Below are 19,187 nucleotides of genomic sequence, written 5' to 3'. Positions count from 1 at the left end.
GGCCTTCCTCCCAGCTAAACAAGGCACTGACTTCTTTTTTTTCTTACTTTTCTTTTTTATTTTTTTTATTTTGAAAAACAAAATCACATTTATGGAAAAATTGGAGGACAGTACAAAGAATTATTTTTTCCTAAACCATTTGATGGTAAGTTGCAATTTGATGTCCCATTGCCCCTAAATACTTTAGGGTGGAATTCCTCCAAACAAGGATGTGGTCCTGCATGACCCCACATTAACCAGCAAAATCAGGAAATCAACATTGACATAGCCCTGCTGTCTATTCCTCAGATCCCATTTGAGTTATGCCAATTGTCCCAATAATGTTCTTTACAACAAAATAATCCAGTCCAGAACCAAGTTACGGTTGGTTCTTTTTTTTTTTTTTTTAATTTTTATTTTTTAGAGACAGGGTCTGACTATGTTGCCCAAGCTGGTCTGAAACTCCTAGGCTGAAGTGATTCTCCTGTCTTGGTTTCCCAAAGTACTGAGACTACAGGCTGGCTGTGTTTTTTACTTCCTTTGTCTGGAATACCTTCTCAGTCTTTCTTTGTCTTTCTTGATACTTTTTTTTTTTTTTTTTTTGAGACAGGGTCTCACTCTGTCTCCCAGGCTGGAGTGCAGTGGCATGATCTTGGCTCTCTGCAATCTCTGCCTCCCAGGCTCAAGCGATTCTCCCGCCACAGCCTCTCGATAGCTGGGACCACAGATGCACATTACTATGCCTGGCTAATTTTTTGTATTGTTTTGGTGGAGACGGCGTTTCACCATGTTGCCCAGGCTTGTCTTGAACTCCTGAGCTCAGGCAATCCACCAGCCTCAGCCTCACAAAGTGCTGGGATTATAGGCATGAGCCACCGTGCCTGGCCTGATCCTGACACTTTTGAATATTTCAAGGTCAGCTGTGTTGCTGAATGCCTCTCAGTTTGGGTGTGTCTGTGTTTCCCTACAAGTAGATTCAGGCTATGTGTCTTTGGCAGGAATGTCACCAACGGGATGTCGGGGTCTTCTTGCTGCATCCTGTCAGGTGACACATGAGCTCAGCTTGTCCCATCATGATAGTGTTCACTTTGATCTCTTGCTTAAGGAAGCGTCTGTCAGGCTTTCCACTGGTTCTTGTACTTTTTGTAATGAATAAGTATTTTGTTTAGACTTTGTAATTAATAAGTCATTCTTAGTAATTAATAAGTATTTTGTGGTGAGGTAGTTTAAAAACATACATATATCCTATTCTTCATTAAACTTTCCATTTATGTATTCAGTTAGGTGGAGTCATGGCTTCCTATTATATTTAATGGGTTCAATGTGCTGCCATTATTATAATTATTATTATTAATTTTTTATTTTTTTGAGACAGAGTCTTGCTCTGTTGCCCAGGCTGGAGTGCAGTGATGTGATCTCTTGGCTCACCACAACCTCCACCTCCTGGGTTCAAGCAATTCTCCTGCCTCAGTCTCCTGAGTAATTGGGATTACAGGTGCCTGCCACCATGCTCGGCTAATTTTTGTATTTTTAGTAGAGATGGGGTTTCACCATGTTGGCCAGGCTGGTCTCAAACTCTGGACCTCAAATGGCCTGCCCCCCTCGGCCTCTCAAAGTGCTGGGATTACAGGCATGAGCCACTGCGCCTGACCCATTGTTATTTATTTTGATGCCCACGTTTTCCTGATTTGCCCTGTGGGAGACACTTCAGTGGTTTTTCTGCCCAGACACCATACCAGCAGCCCATTTTTGGTGGGATCCTTTCCCACCAAATAGAAATGTTTATCTCTCTGAGAACACATCTAAGAAGGGGGACTGGAGTCTCTCTCTGTCCCACTCAGTCCCTGCCCAGCCCTGAGGAATTCTACAGCAGGGTCCTGTGGGCATGACTTGTCATTTCAGAAACCCTTTGCATAAAGGGGCAGATGCTGACGGCCCAACCCTCAGCTCTTGGGTTTGGCAGGGAGCAGACGCAGAGGGTCAGCAAATCTACGGTGGCCACAAGGAGAGGCTGTGCTGATTTATTGTTGCTGTGGAAGAACCTGAAAAGAGCTTTGGCCACCACTGAGGAAATGTTTTCTTTCTGTGCGCGATAAAGAGCAGGCCCAAAAGTTGGAAAAAAGGAAGAGAAAAATTCATTAAAAATAAAAAACGCTCAGGGAATTCAGCCACTCATTTGGAAATCCTGTTCTCTTCTATCATCATCGTTGACAGAGGTGGCGATCACTGCACAGCTGTTGTGATGCCAGCATTCACTTAAAGATGTTCCCACAGAACAGGAAAAGCAAACAGGCCTTCCTCATCCTGAGCCCTCTCTTGCCTTCCCCGAGTCCCTCCTCCAACTCCCTGCCTTCATCGTCCCCAAAAGCAATGAGTCAAGAATTCAATGAGATTGAACTTTACAGAGAGTAGGAGCCCCCTAAACTCGTTAAAAAGTTAATTTTTAATTGCATAAAATACAGGCAACATACAACTTACCATTTTAACCATTTTTAAGGGTACAGTTCAGAGGCGTTCACATTGTTGGGCAACCGCCCTCACCATCTACCTCCAGAACACTTTCCGTCTTGCAAAACTGAAACACTGTGTCTCTCCAATAATAATTTCCCATTCCTCCCTCCCCTCCAGACCCTGGCAACCACCATTGGACTTTCTGTCTCTAAGAATTGGACTACTCTAGGTACCTCATATGAGTGGACTAGAGAATTTGTCTGTTGTGAGTGGCTTATTTTACTAGCATGTCTTCTTTTTTCTCATTTCAGCTTTCATTTTAGATTCAGGGGGTACATGTGCAGGTTTGCTACATGGGTATGTCTAAGTTGCATGAATCTGAGATTTGGGGTATGAATGAGCCTATTACCCAGGTAGTGAGCATAATACTCAAAAGGTGGTTTTTTAACCCTCTGCCCCTCCTTGCCCTCCCCTTCTGGCAGTCCGCAGTGTCTCTTGTTTCCATCTTTATGACCATGTGTTTCCAATGTCTAGTTCCCGCTTATACGTGAGAACATGCAGTATTTGGTTTCCTGTTTCTGTATTACTTCGCTTAGGATAAGGACCTCCAGCTACATCCATGTTGCTGCAAAGGACATGATTTCATTCTTTTTATGGCTATGTTGTATTCCATGGTGTATATGTACCACATTTTCTTTATCCAATCCGCCATTGATGGGCATCTAGGTTGATTACATGTCTTTGCTATTGTGAATAGTGCTGTGATGAACATATAAGTTCATGTGTCTTTTTGGTAGAACAATTTATTTTCCTTTGTGTATATGCCCTGTAATGAGATTGCTGGGTTGAATGGTAATTCTATTTTTAGCCCTTGGAGAAATCTCCAAACTGCTTTCCACAATGGCTGAACTACTTTACATTCCCACCAACAGTGTATAATTGTTCCCTTTTCTCCACAGCCTCAGCAACATCTGTTATCTTTTTGACTTTTTAGAAATAGCCATTCTGACTGGTATGAGATGGTATTTCCTTTGGCTTGGATTTGCATTTCTCTGATGATTAGTGGTGTTGAGTATTTTTTCATATGTTTATTGGCCACTTGTATGTCTGCTTTTGAGAAGTGCCTGTTCATGTCATTTATCCACTTTTTAATGGAGTTAATTGTTTTTTGCTTATTGATTTAAGTTCTTTATAGATTCTGGATATTAGATTTTTGTCAGATGCCTAGTTTGTGAACATTTTCTCCCATTCTGTAGGTTGTCTGGTTACTCTGTTGATAGTTTCTTTTGCTGTGCAGAAGCTCTTTAGTTTAATTAGCTCCCACTTGTCAAGCTGTTTTTGTCACAATTGCTTTTGAGTGCTTAGCTAAAAATTATTTTCCAAGGCCAGTGTTTAGAATGGTATTTCCTAGGTTTTCTTGTAGGATTTTTATCATTTTAGGTCTTACATTTCCGTCTTTAATCCATCTTGAGTTAATTTTTGTACATGGTGAAAGGTAGGGGCCCAGTTTCAATCTTCTCCATATGGCTAGCCTGTTAGCCTAGCACCATTTATTGAATAGGGGTCCATTCCCCATTGCTTGTTTTTGTTGACTTTGTCAAAGACCAGATGGCTGTAGGTGTGTGGCTTTATTTCTGGGCTCTCTATTCGGTTCCATTGCTCTATGTGTCTGTTTTTGGACCAGTGCCATGCTGTTTTGGTTCCAGTAGCCTTATAGCATACTTTGAAATTGGGTTTTAAGTATAGTTTGAAGCTGGCTTTGTTCTTTTGCTTAGAATTTCACTTAGCATAATGTCTTCAAGGTTCATCCATGTTGTAGCATGTGTCAGAATTTCCTTCTTTTTTAAGGCTGAATCCCTTCTAAGCTTTTAAACGTTATATAACTATAATGGTTTTCTGGGGCTGCCATAACAAAATATCACAGACTGGGTGGCTTAAACTGCAGTCCTGGAGGCTAAAAGTCCAAGAGCAAGGTGTTGGCAGGGTTGGTTTCTTCTGAGCCTCTCTTCTTGACTTGCGGATGGCTACCCTTTTGCTGTGCCCTCCCATGGTCTTTTCTTTGTGTGTGTGCATCCCTGGTGTCCACATTTCCTCTTCTTATAAGGACATCAGTAAGGACACCATAAGAAGATTGAATGAGGGCCCACCCTAATGGTCTCATTTTAACTTAAGCATCTCTTCAAAGGCCCTGTCTCTGAATACAGTCACATTCTGAGGTACTGGGAGTTAGGGCTTCAATATATGAATTTGGGGGGAACATACTTCAGCCCATAACTGTAACCTTCCTGAGAAATGGCTTCCTCAACTGCATGAGAGTCACTATGGCCACATTTATGGGTGCTGGTTTAGATTATGCATATGAGGTGCTCAACATGGCATTGGGGCATGGCAATGTGTTTACAGCAGCAGCTAGCAGCAGGATTTTATTTCCCCAAGTCCTCATAGGGCCCTTCCAGCACGTATCAGGTGCTCACGTAATGTTTGTTGTGTGTGTTACATCTTTTATCTTGGTTTGGGTGGGGCCGGGCAGCCAGAGGAAAGAGATACAGGATTGCATCATTGTGGGGAGGGAAAAAATAGGGAGCAAACACACTTTAACTGCTAAGCTCTCCTGTCCAACCAGTCTGGCTTACAAAGCTCCCTGATTTTAACGATGGACAATGAGTGATTACCATTGACTGAGCATGTGCCAGGCATTGAACTAGGCACTCTATAGATGTTGTCTCATTTAATCCTCAAGTAGGTATTATTATTATTATACCTACTTCTCAGATGAGAAAACTGAGGCCCAGAGAGTTTATGTAACCGGCCAAATCACATAGATGCCAAGTGCTGAGACAGCATTCAGACTCAGAAGGTCTGCGTAGTGAGCCCAAGGGCTTCTGATGACAATTACATAAAAATTGCATATGCATGTGAATTAGAATTATAAATGTACTTACAAAATAAGGGGGCAGAATTAGAGGATAATAAGATACTGGCTATTTTTCTTTTATTTAAAAATTTCTACTTCTTCAGTGATATTTGTGAAATTCTTTATTTTTAATTCAAATTATTCTAAAAGAGGATTTTGAGTGCTGTGGTGTTTCTCTGTTAAGAGTTAGAGGAAAAGTGCACATACCACCTCTTGGGTACAGCTGCATAAACAATTGTTCTGTTTTTTCCTCACCTGGAATTTGAAGAATAAGGATTCATCTGCCCCTTAGAGCTCCATCAATAATAGATTTTCCAAATATTAGCTATTTTTAATTTTGTGTATTTTTTTTGTCTTCTGTCTCTCCACTTTTTTCTCTCTCTTCATTTTTAAAGAAATTCACATAAGTGAGCTTGTATCAACTTATCTTTGGAATATGTGTGTTGCAAGCTCTGGGTTTCTTCAGTATCAAGAGGGATGATGGATGAGAAGAGTTCTGGGAAGAATCACAGAGGGTTGGGCTGTTCTGTTTGTTTTCCTGAGCTGTAGAATATTTTACTCTCAATGCAGTAAAGAAATCTTAACCTCACCACATTCCCACTTCCAAACCAATCTCAAAGTTGTTCTTCTAAGAAACTAGTTACGTCCTTATAAGGGACAGTAATAAAATTCCTCCCTCTGCAAATCATCTAAGTTTTGGGGTCTCATTGAAATAATTATCTTTACCAGAAATAACTTCTGCCTGCTCTGCCCTAAACCTTGGACAGATATTGATCTTATATGAGCAAATCCATATGAAATGTAGAATATCAAAAGTAATTAGGTATCCTCAATATTCCCTCAATCACAATCCAGTCTTAACCTTTTCAGCTCCTTGGAGCTCCCACTGACATCTCTAGGCAGGCCGTGGTGTCTCACACCTGTAATCCCAGCGCTTTGGGAGGCTGAGGCGGGCGGATCATCTAAGGTTGGGAGTTTGAGACCAGCCTGACCAGCATGGTGAAACCCCGTCTCTACTAAAAATACAAAAATTAGCTGGGCGTGGTGGCGCATGCCTGTAATCCCAACTACTCGGGAGGCTGAGGTGGGAGAATCGCTAGAACCCAGGATGCGGAGGTTGCGGTGAGCCCAGATCGTGCCATTGCACTCCAGCCTGGGCAACAAGAGCGAAACTCCATCTCAAAAAAAAAACAAAAACAAAAACAAACAAACAAAAGACATCTCTAATTCACCCTGTCTTCACCAGTCTGGCTATAAAACCTACTGATTACGCAGCTCCTTCTGAGAAAGGTGGGTCTTTGCGTTGTTTCAGGTGAATCTGCTGTGCTGACCACAACTGCTATGCTGAGCCCAGGGCATCTAACCTGAGGATGCAGCCCAGTTGGGAAGCTTCATATTGGGTGGTAAATATCCCACCTAATCATCTTGAATGCAAGACAGATAATCCAGCCACAGACACAGAGGCAAGAAAGGGAAAACCAGAAAGAGGGAGATTGTAAACAGAAGGCACCTTGGGCAAGGTAGAACTGCTAAGTAAAAAACAATGGTTTCTCCTCTTCAGAGGAGGCCAGGCTCTAGGAACTGCAGTTGCTGTGGTTTCCTGGATAGTTTTCCAGTTCTCCATGAGGCCAGAATGTGCAGCTGCTGAAATGTTTTGTTTTTGTTTTTGTTTTGCTAACTCACTGCATATATTTATATCTCTAACAAAAATCCCCACCTGTTAAAGTGTCTTGAAGGTATTACTGTAGGCATTTTTTTTTTTTGCAACTGGAAAGGTTTGCACACCATTGTCTAAAAGTAAATTCATAATCTGTTCTCCTGAGCCTACTGGTTCTTGTGTATTGACTGTGTGTGCTTTGGTATCACCATTCCAGGTCTTTGATTTTTCCTAATCCCTTTCTAGAGTCTGCCAGTCCATTTGCCAGGTCCCTTCAGTTCTATCTTTATAATACAGTTTTAATATATTAATATCAGTTAACTGTTTATATCAATACAGTTTTAATATACATTACTAAATATTCCTCGCACATAGCTCTACTCTCTCACCTTTCACCTTTAGCAGACATCACCGATCACTGCACTCCTTCCCACTTCCCTGAACAAGCCCAAAAGCAAGAACAGCTCTATTCTGTATTTTATTTATTTATTTATGTATTTATTTGAGATGGGGTCTCACTCTGTCACCCAGGCTGGAGTGCATGACGCGATCTCGGCTCACTGTAACCTCTGCCTCCAGGGTTCTAGCAGTCCTCTCACCTCAGCCTCCCAAGCAGCTGGGTCTACAAGCATGTACCACCACGCAGGGCTAATTTTTGTATTTTGGTAGAGGTGGGGTTTCGTCATGTTGCCCAGGCTGGTCTCGAACTATTTGACTCAACTGATCCACTTGCCTTGGCCTCCCAAAGTGCTGGGATTACAGGTGTGAGCCACTGCACCCAGCCTGTATTCTTTAAATGCTTATTACTTATCAGGTATTGTGCTAAGCATTTTGCATGCCTTATCTCATTTCATTCTCTTAAAAAAACCCCAAGAAATAGACACAATTGCTTTTTCCATTGGAAAAGTGAGAAAACTGAGGTTCAGAGAGAGAGGAGAAATACCATGGCTCCTCTCTCTGGAGCACGCGAAAGAAAGGAGCCGTGGCACTTCTCCTCTCTTTGTCCAGTCCTCCGATCTCTTTCCATGGCCTCCCACTGACAGAGCCTAGATAGAGCCAGTTGGCAGGGCAGCCACGGAAATGTAGTTTGCAGGGGCCAGCATCTTGTGGTGCAAAGCAACGCAGAAGAGCAGGGATCGGATCTGAGACCAAATAGAGAATGACTGGCACAAAGCCTTTCTGGATTCTGCAGCCAAAAGGAATCCGTCCTGGCTCTGAAAATTCAAAGCACTTCATCCAGACATTTTCCTTTTTACTTAACACTTTTTATGGTATAGTTATATATGAGTATATATATTTGTGAGTCTTTTTTTCTTTGGTCTGTAGGCTCTACAGGTCTATTGAGTAAGACATAGTGGAATCATTGTCATTTCTGTTATCATGCCTAGCCCCATGCTTTGCTCAATAAATAGTTGTTGAATGATGAATGCTATTCTATTCTATTCAACGCCTGTGCCTCTCCAGACTGGAGTGTGTGCCAGAGGGCGTGCCAAGCTACAAGACAATCACCTTCGATTTCCCTGGAGAGTCAATTTGACCATAAGGTAAGTAATTTTAAACATCATTTTTACGTGAAAACAAAACAGAAAAGGAATCAAAATTTACAGGATTTTCTTTTACTTTTTTTTCTACTCTGTGACTCTAGCCAAAGATGATTTTCTTTAAGATAAAATGAGTTACTTCAAAAAAGGCTAGGCTCTTCATATATTCATGTTTTTGTTTCATTCTTTTTTTTTTTTTTTTTAGCAAGGGTTGATTGAGCATTTACTATATGCCAGGCCCTGCTCTAGGCATTGGGAACACAGAAGTGAACTGGAGAGATATAATTCCTGCCTTCAGGGATCCTATAGTCCAATGCAGGCATTAACAAACTTATTCTATAAATGACCAGGCAGCAAATGTTATAGGCTCTGTAGGCCAAACATTCCTTGTCACACTACTCAAACCTGCCGTTGAAAGCAGCCATAGACAATATGTAAACAAATGAGTGTGCATGTGTTTCAATAAAACTTTATTACAAAACAGGCAGAAACAAAAAGTTAAATACATAAAAGCAAAGAGTAAATTGTGGTGACCACGGGAAGGGGTGAATAAGGGAAATGGAAAGATGTAGGTCAAAGAGTACAAAGTTGTGGTTCCTATAGGAGAATAAATCTAGAAATCTCATGTGGAACATGAAGACTATAGTTAATATTGTATTGTATATTGGAAATTTGCTAAGAGAGTAGATTTTGGAGACTCTTATCACACAAAAAGAAAGGTAACTATATGAGATGATGGGTATGTTAATTTGCTTGACAGTAATAATGTATGTGTATATCATGTATTGTTCACCATGTATATGTTTACCAAAACATCATGTTGGCTGGGCTCAGTGACTCACACCCGTAATCACAACACTTTGGGAGGCCAAGGTGGGTGGATAACACAAGGCCAGAAGTTCAAGACCAGCCTGGCCAACATAGTGATTACTCTATCTCTACTAAAAATGCAAAAATTAGCCAGGCGTGGTGGTACACCCCTGTAATCCCAGCTACTCAGGTGACTGAGGCATGGGAATCACTTGAACCCAGGAAGCGGAGGTTGCAGTGAGCAGAGATAGCACCACTGCACTCCAGCCTGGGCAACAGAGTGAGACCCTGTCTCAAAAACAAACAAACAAACAAACAAACAAACAACAACAACAAAATCCATCATGTTGTACACCCTAAATATAAACAATTTAAAAAATAACAAATGGCTGGATTTAGCCATTGGGCCATAGTTTGCTGACCTCTGATTTAGTGGAGAAAATAGACCTTAAACAATTTAGTGTAACACATTGTTAGAAAATAATATAAGAGGTACATGGGCAAAAGTTATGGTAAATCACTTAATCCAAAGCAGGACCAGCTTCATGGGTGTGCAACCTGTGCACACAGGGCCTACTCTCAGAAGGAATCCCATGCTTGGTTTAATGTTCTGCTGTTACTGTCTTGAAATTCTTGACAATTTTATTTTTGACCTTGTGTTGTGAAGTCAGATCAGACAATAGAGCATGCATGGAGCAGAGGAGATTCCAGGTGTTAGTGTACACGTGCAGGCTCATGCCTACAGGCATGGCAAAGGGCAGCACCAGGAGTTGGCCTGGCCATCTGGTATGCACGGGCATACCTGGGGCTGTCCTGGGCACCAGGGGTATCTGAGGGGGCAGCTGGGCTGGGACCGGGGCCTACATTGGTGGTGATAGCAGTAGTAGCAGAAGCAGCAGATGCATGGAAGTAGCAGAAGTAGTGGCTGTGGCAGAGAGGAGCAGCACTGGGGTTCCACGGAGGGGCAGCCCCAGGAGAGTCTGTCCCCAGAGCCTGTTCCTGCAGCATCTGCATAAATATTAACTCTCCAGTCTAAGCACTGCGACAGGAACTGCTGGTACTCAGGCAGCAAAGTTTGTCAGTAAGTTATTATAAAACAAGATGTACACACAGACATTGCAATAAAGCATATCAGGGAGTTATTAAAATTCTTCAAAGGGTTTTGAAAACCATTGCAACATTGCAAACCAAATATCCACAGGCTTGGAAATAGAAATTAAATGTAAAGATTATCCTATTCAACAGAAAAGAACATTATTATTTGCAGGAAAACCTCAGATAAACCAAAAATTAGCAAGACAATTTAAAAATTAAATTTTCTGGCCAGGCACAGTGGCTCATGCCTGTAATCCCAGCACTTTGGGAGGCCGAGGCTGGCGGATTACCTGAGGTCAGGAGTTCAAGAACAGCCTGGCCAAAATGGTGAAACCCCGTCTCTACTAAAAACACAAAAATTAGCCGGGCATGGTGGCACACACCTGTAATCCCAGCTACTCAGGAGGCTGAGGCAGGAGAATTTCTTGAGCCCTGGAGGCAGAGGTTGCAGTGAGCCGAGATCGTGCCACTGCACTCCAGCCTAGCCAACAGAGCGAGACTCTGTCTCGAAAAAAAAAAAAAAGTTAAATTTCCTTATATTTGAAGATGCAGTGATAGAATGCATAAAGAAGTGCCTTGAATTATATAAAAATTATGAAGCCTTTTTTTGTTTCTTGTGTAACTGCCACAACTTGCAGGAACTGCTGGAGGAAATATTAATTAATATTAAAATTTACATGTACAATTAAATTCAGATTTATAAGAAACTGATTTGTATGAAGAGTTAAATCTTTTTAGAAAATATTTCTATAGGAATCATCACCTCTAGATGTACTAAAATTCATATTTCAAGATAATTTATCAGAAATGTATCCCAATATCATTACAGCCTAAAAAATAAACTTATTCTAGTAAGAGTTGCATCAGTAGATTCTAATTGTCAAAATTAAATTTATCAAAAAGTATTCGTGATCTTACATTTGCCAATAGCAACTGACATTGCTTTGAATTAGATCATTGAAAATTAAGCTGTTAAAAGTACAAATTTTTATGATCAAATAAATACATAAATATGCAAGAAAACACATCAGAAATTAATGAATATGCAGCAAAGCAAGCCAGATTAATTATAATGTCACGTTAATATAAGATACTATTATGTATTGTGTTATATAAACTTACAACACCAAAAATATTTTTTGGCTATTTAAAAATTTGTGTTGTTATTCATGTGTCATTATTACTCTCATTATACTTTCTAAGTGATGTAGTGTATTAAATACACCTTATCTGGAATGCTTGGGACCAAAAGTGTTTTGAATTTCAGATTTTTTTCAGATTTTGGAATATTTGCATTATACTTACTGGTTGAGCATCCCAAATCTGAATACCTAAAATTTAAAATGCTCATTAGGGCATTTTGAGTGTCATATCAGTGCTCAAAAAGTTTTGGATTTTAAAACATTTATTTTGGATTTTTGGATTAAGGATGCTCCACCTAGAAAATATTTTAGAAGGATAATTTTGATATTTTAGTATCTTATACTGCCCTTTTTCCCCCTGCCTTTTTGAACAGGGGCCTTGCATTTTCATTTTGACTGAGCCTCAAAAATTATGTAGCTGGCCTTGTCCAAAAATCAGGGCAGGTTTTCATGGGGAAGTAGGAAAGCAAGAGGGGGCTTGTTTCACTAGAGCAGTGGTTCTCAAAGTGTGTTCCCTGTAGCATCAGCATCACCTGGTGTCTTAGTCCACTCAGGTGCTATAAGAAAATACCATAAGCTGGGTGGCTGAAACAACAATATCTATTTCTCATAGTTCTGAAGACTACGAAGTCCAAGATAAGAAACTGGCAGATTTGATTATTTACTTATTTATTTTTTTGAGACAGTGTCTCACTCTATTGCCCAGGCCGGAGTGCAGTGGTGTGATCTTGGCTCACTGCCACCTCTGCCTCCTGGGTTCAAGCGATTTTCCTGACTCAGCCTCCCCAGTAGTTGGGATTACAAGTGCCCGCCACCACGCCCAGCTAATTTTTGTATTTTTAGTAGAGATGAGGTTTCACCATGTTGGGCAGGCTGGTCTCAAACTTCTGACCTCAAGTGATCCGCCTACCTCTGCCTCCCAAAGTGCTAGGATTACAGGCGTGAGCCACTGTGCCCGGCTAGATTTCATGTTAAGTGCAATGGAGAAAATAAAACACAGAAGGTTGTTGGTTCAAAATGCAAGTGTGTGTGTATCTGTGTGTTTGTGTGTATTGAGGGAGGAACTTAAAACAGGATGGCTAGTGAAGACCTTCTTGCAAAAGTGGCATTTGAGTAGATGCCCAAAGGAGGCAGGAGAGCTCTGGGGTAAAAGCCGTCTGAGATGGGGAATTAGTGAGTGCAAAGGCCCTGAGGCAGGAGAGCTCTGGTGTAAAAGCCGTCTGAGATGGGGAATTAGTGATTGCAAAGGCCCTGAGGCAGGAGAGTGCCTGGCATCCTGAGGGGCAGTGAGGAATAGGGGTCTCTCTTCTGGGGAGAGCCCTATTCCTGGTTCATAGATGGCACCTTCTTATTGCAACCTTACACAGTGGAAGGGGCCAGGTAGCTCTCTGGAGCCTCTTTTATAAGGGCACTAGTTCCATTTATGAGGGCTCTGCTGTCATGACCTAATAACCTCCCAAAAGTCCCACCTCCTTGTACCATTGCACTGGGGATTAGGTTTCACCATATGAATTGAGGGGACACACACGTTCAGACCATAGCATCTGGGATCCAATTAGAATTGCAAATTCTCAGGCCCTACCACAGAAACTCTGCGAGGTAAACCACGGCAGTCTGATTTTAACCTTCTAGGTGATTCTAATGCCAGTTGAAATTTGAGAACCACTGCTGCAGGGGAACTGACAGACGTACAGTATGTATGTTGGGAAGTGGGAAGAAAATTGGAGGTTTTTAAGCAAGAGTAAAAGCAACATCCTTAAACAGGTTACAAGGCCCTCCAGGGTGCGTACATCCTCATCACCTTCCTCACCTCATATCCCACCACTCTCCTCAGACGCACTGACATCCTCACTGCCCTCAGCATGCCAGGCACTCTCCTGCCTCAGGGCCTTTGCACTCCCTTCTTCCCCTTCACAGACGGCTTTTACCCCAGAGCTCTCCTGCCTCCTTTGAGCGTCTACTCAAATGTCACTTTTGCAAGAAGGTCTTCACTAACCATCCTATTTTAAGTTCCTCCCTCAATACACACAAACACACAGATACACACACTTGCATCTTGAAACCTCTTCCCTGTTTTATTTTCTCCATTGCACATATCAACGCCTAATATATTGCTTTCTTATTTTTGGGGGTTAATTATCTATCTTTCACAATTTCCCACTGGAATGCTAGTTCTATGAAGGAAGTGGTTTTGTTCTGTTTCACTTACTGACATATCCCCAGGGCCCACAGGTGCCTGGTAGAGAGGAAATACTCAACAAATACTTATTGAAAGAGTGAATAAATTAACTATGTCTCAATCAAATAAATACATGACCATAATTAATAAGAAAAAGGTTCTCATTACTTGATTAACAAAGCAACTAGCAGTTCTTCACTTGGGGCCATAAGCTGGGTTTGTGCATTGAGGTAGAGACCATTAGGGTGCTGGAAAGAGAAAATCCATGTATTCCTCCTACTTCCTCACCTGCTGTGGTTGGAGCCATGTGACAAGTCTGACTAATGGACTTTGAACAGAGGAGGAGTGTGTAAATGTAGGTAAAGGCAGTTCACTAGGAGAGTCCCTCCACTTCTCTCATTTCATTTGGCTGTGACCATGAAAGCCTTTGATGAGCCACAAGGTGGAAACAGCCTAGATCCCCGAGTCAATGCATGGAGGAAAGCTTTCCTAGACATTCTATGAAGGGGGAAAAAAAATTGTTCTGATACATCATTGTGACTCCAGGGCTTTATTTGTTACTGCAGCATTGTCTAGCCTCACCGGCATATAATAGAGTCATTATTAACAAGCAGAGATAAAAGGTAAATTCAGAAAATTGAGTCTTCTGAATCATCTTTCTATGAATAACTACTTGGTAGACTTAAGGAAGCCCCTGTACCTTGTTCACAAGAATAAGAAATTTAAAATGTTGCCTGGACAATGACACATGCGTAAACCACAAAAACTAAAACTGTTGAAGTTGGCAGTTAGGCAGACATGAGCATGGCAGGAGAGGGCTCCCTCCCCTCAGGAATGTCAGGCAACCATCAGGTAATGGTTGAGTGGTTGCTAAAACGTCTCTCTAAAATAATAATTTATCACAGACAGCACCCAATAGACCTATTGGCAGTCTCCTGATAGATGGAAAACACCTGAAGTGCGTGATCAGCCGCTTCCAAATAAGATCTCAGGAGTTGGGCAAGTGGGCTCAAGCATGGACACTAAGAGGCAAAATCATGGAGTTTAATTGGTAAATGACCTTCCTCTGGGAATGCTCAACTGATAAGGAGAAAACGCCTCAAGTGAGCGTGCACACAACTTCAGTAAACGCACTGCACATGCAGCCCCTCCCAAGTGTTGGGAGGCCACTGTGCATGTGGACGGCCTGCCCCAAGTTAAAAATCAAGGGAGGAGAGATGCAAAACTCCAGAAGCATGCCAACGTATAAAACCCCAAGTCAAAGGTCAAGCAGGATACTTGGATCTCTCAAGTCACCCACTTGGCCCTCTCCCAAATGTACTTTACTTCCTTTCTTTCCTGCTCTAAAACTTTTTAATAAGCTTTCACTCCTGCTCTAAAACTTGCCCTGGTCTCTCCCTTTGTCTTATGCCCCTTGGTCAAATTCTTTCTTCTGAAGGGGCAAGAATTGAGGTTGCTACAGACCGTACAGATTCACCACCACTAACATGAACAGAGCAGAGGCAGAACCAGCCCCTTCTGCTGCACCCTCCCAAGGACAATGTTGATGGCCCATCAGGCTCGTATCATTTCTTGGAAATAACTGAACACTAACAATGATAGGAATAATAATAGCACTAATACTTAGTGTTCTGTATGTGACAGACATGTCCTAAGTACTTTACACTTATAAACTTATGTTAATGGCAAAACCAAATTCTGCCAAAATATATTTAAAGAAGTTTATTCCAAGCCGATGTGAGTACCTTCATCCCAGGTTGCACAATCTCAAGAGGAACTGAGAAAGGAAGCCTAAACTAGTCAGGTTACAGTTTGGTTTTAGACATTTCAGGGAGACAGGAATTGCAGTTAAAATCATAAATCAATACGTGGAAAGTATACGTTGGATTGGCCCAAAAAGTGTGACATCACAAAGCTTGATTTAAATCCTTGAAATCAGTAGAAAGGAAAGCCTGAATTAAGATAAGGAGGTTGTGGAGGCCAAGGTTCTGATGTAGATGAACGTTATAGGTGGCAGCCCTCAGAGAGAATAGATGGTGAATGTCTCTTCTCAGACTTTAAAGGTGTCAGACTCTCAGTTAATCAGGGAAAGACCTAGAAGGGGAAAGTCCTGGCTACATTTATGGAGATTCTCTACAGATGCAAAATTTCCCCACAAAAGATGGCTTTGCAAAGTCATTTCAATCTGTTGGCCCTGTGGCAGCCATTTCAAAATATGTTAAAGAAATATATTTTGGGGTAAAATATTTTGGTTTCCTTCAGGGTATGCTATCTGTCATGTGATGCTATATCTGAGTCAGGTTGTAAAGTAAGCCATATTATATAAGATTAATAAAACTCAGCCAGGTGTGGGGGCTCACACCTGTAATCCCAACACTTTGGGTGGCCAAGTCAGGAGGTCACTTGAGCCCAGGAGTTTGAGACCAGCCTGGGCAATATAGTGAGACCCCATCACAATAAAAAAAAGTTAAAAAATTTTAAAAAATGGCTAATAAAGCCTGTCTAATGAGATTTTATGGTTTCTAAGGTGTGACTCTCCAGGCCCCTTAGATAGGAATTTGGGCAAGAGAAAAAAAAAGTCAGAGTTCTCACTCATTAAATCTATTTTTTTTTTCTTTTGGAGACAGAGTCCTTCTCTGTCACCCAGGCTGGAGTGCAGTGGTACAATCACAGCTCACTGCAGCCCTGACCTCCCAAGCTCAAGCAATCCTCCTGCCTCAGCCTCCCAAGTAGCTGGACTACAGGTGGCACCACCATGCCTGGCTAATTTTGTGTGTGTGTGTGTGGAGGTGGGGGGTCTCACTATGTTGCCCATACTGGTCTCAAACTCCTGGGCACAAGTGATCCTCCCACCTTGGCTTCCCAAAGTGCTGGGATTACAGGCATGAGCCACTGCACCCAGCCTTCATTAAATCCTTGCAGCATCTCCATGAGCTAGGTCCTATTTTTATTACCACTTTTCACACAGTGAAACAGATGCAGAGAGATTCAGTAACTTACCCAAGGCCACACAGCTTGTGAGTGATGGAGCTGAGATTTGAACCCGGCAGTCTGACTGGAGGGTTAGGGATGATCCCTGGGCTGGGAGAGAGGCATCCCTGAGACAAATCTCTGCCCCAACACTCACTAATCAATTGACTTTTAGACAACAACTTAACTTTTTGCAGTCCTAATTTCTCCATCTCTTGACTTAGGGCATTGCTGTAGTAATATAAATAATATTATACCTACAACATGAGATCGCTGTGACACTGGTGGGCTGGGAGAGGTCCCCAAACAATGGTGGGACCTCGACCCTAGCTAGTGTCCAGGCCCTTGACACTTTCATGAGAAGGAATTCAAGGAGGAGCTGAACAACAGTGAAAGTATGGAGATTTGTTTATTTTTATTTTTGAGACAGGGTCTCACTCTGTCGCCCAGGCTGGAGTGCAGTGGCATGATCTCAGCCTCGACCTCCCAGGCTCAAGTGATCCTCCCACCTCAACCCACTGTGTAGCTGGGACTACAGGTGTTCACCACCACGCCCAGCTAGTTTTTGAATTGTGTGTGTGTGTGTGTGTGTGTGTGTGTGTGTGTGTAGATGGGGTTTCTCCATGTTGCCAGGTTGGTCACAAACTCCTGGACTCAAGCGATCCTCCTGCCTCAGCCTCCCAAAGTGCTTGGATTACAGGCATATGCCACTGCGCCCGGCTAGACAGAGAGCTTGATTGCAAAGTAAAAATACACACTCAAGACAAGGGAGTGCTGGCGTACTCAAAAGACAGAGTCACATGGAGCTTGGGGTTCCTATCATTATTGATTTCTTTAACCAAGGGGTGGAATATTCATAAAGATTCCTGGAAAAAGGTGAGGATTTCTTGGAACTGTAGTGCCACCCATTTTTACACCAAATATGGGTGTTCCTGGAAACATCATGGTACTGGTGGGTGAGGGTATAATGAGGTCTTGGGAGAAACCTAGGTCAAATGCAGCACCATGTTGGGTCCAGTTGGTCTTAGCCAGCTTGGCCCACACCCTGGTTTTCCAGGGTCTTATCAGCCCCCAGCTTCTATAGTTATTTCAAGAGTTTCCTTTTTGCAAGGCATGTGAAAATACTGCCTGGAATTTTCTGTTCTCCTTTGACCACACTGAATTTTTCCTGACTCAGTTGTTGAGGATCAATTCAGATCATGCAATGGCCCAGAGTAGATGCTCCATAAAGGTTATTGTTGCAATGATGATGTTCCAAATGGACAGCCTAGATATCTCCAGGTATCTGGAATGACGTCTTAGCATGGTGAGACATTTAGTGTGTCTCTTCTGCTCCTCACTGGAGTTTATGGGGAGACCTACTCCCCAGCCCAGGTAGCCAAAGGCAGCCCCTTTATTATATTATAGAATCTAACTGGGGTCCACTTCCCCAGTGCGGTAAGATCAGATATCTACATCAGGGTTTGCAGTGGGAGAAAGGAAGGTGTTTATTTGCAGGGCACCATGCAAGGAGAACCAGGCAACTAATGCTTAAGTCCCCACCTCCCTGATGGCTTGCAGGTAAGAGTTTTTAAAGGCAGCGGTAAATTTCAGGAAAGCAGAAGTTACAGGCAAAATCATAAACCAATACCCAGGTTACATACTGGTTTGGGCCTAAAAGGGCAGGATATCTTGAAGCAGAAGGCTTACAGGTCATAAGTAGATTCAAAGCTTTTCTGATTTGCAACTGGTTAAGAAAGAGAAGCTTTGTTTAAAAATCTGGGGCCAGCAGAAATAAAGGTTAGCTCTACCTCTTTGGGTGTGACTTTCTCTAGGCCCTTCAGGAAGAAATTTAGAACAAAGTACAGTGATCAGAGTTCAGTTCCTAGTTCCTCCTTATCTGAGATCTATATGTAGGGGGGATGGGTTTGGTGAGAGTCCAGGTTTCTGAAAAACAACTCAGAGACTCACGTTAAGATGCTATCTTTAGTTTCTATAGGGAACCAAACATCCTGTGACTCTGGCTTCCTTGGCTATTGTTTTAGGCTACTTTTTTTTTTAAGCCAGAGTCTTGCTCTGTCGCCCAGGCTGGAGTGCAGTGGCGCCATCTCAGCTCACTGCAACCTCCGCCTCCCAGGCTCAAGCAATTCTCCTGCCTCAGCCTCCCAAGTAGCTGGGATTACAGGCATGCGCCGCCACGCCTGGCTAATTTTTGTGCTTTTAGTAGAGACAAGGTTTCACCCTATTGGCCAGGCTGGTCTCCTGACCTCAAGTGATCCACCCACCTCAGCCTCCCAAAGTGCAGGGATTACAGGCGTGAGCCACCGCGCCCAGCCTGTTTTAGGCTACTATTACCTTCTTGCTTATCCAGTTGTTATCTGGACTAGGGTCTTAGCATGGGGCTAAGCTCCTCAGGGCTAGCTAGGTGCCTGGAATTTCCCTTAAAGGGACTCAAGGCTTTCCTTTATTT

The 19,187-nt window shown here is 42.4% G+C and overlaps 1 long non-coding RNA gene across 1 annotated transcript in view; it reads left to right on the top strand.

The window, feature by feature from the left end:
• LOC105369911 (uncharacterized) overlaps nucleotides 1-19,187 on the top strand; it is a 48,642-nt gene that overhangs the window by 26,136 nt on the left and 3,319 nt on the right. The window contains exon 2 of the long non-coding RNA NR_135017.1: nucleotides 8,466-8,545. This is a non-coding gene — a long non-coding RNA (uncharacterized LOC105369911). The remainder of the gene's footprint in view (nucleotides 1-8,465; nucleotides 8,546-19,187) is intronic.

The sequence above is a fragment of the Homo sapiens genome, chromosome 12, assembly GCF_000001405.40.
Source record: "Homo sapiens chromosome 12, GRCh38.p14 Primary Assembly".
Lineage (NCBI taxonomy): Eukaryota > Metazoa > Chordata > Mammalia > Primates > Hominidae > Homo > Homo sapiens.
Note: the sequence above shows the minus strand (reverse complement) of the source record. Positions and strands in the feature narration are given on the sequence as shown.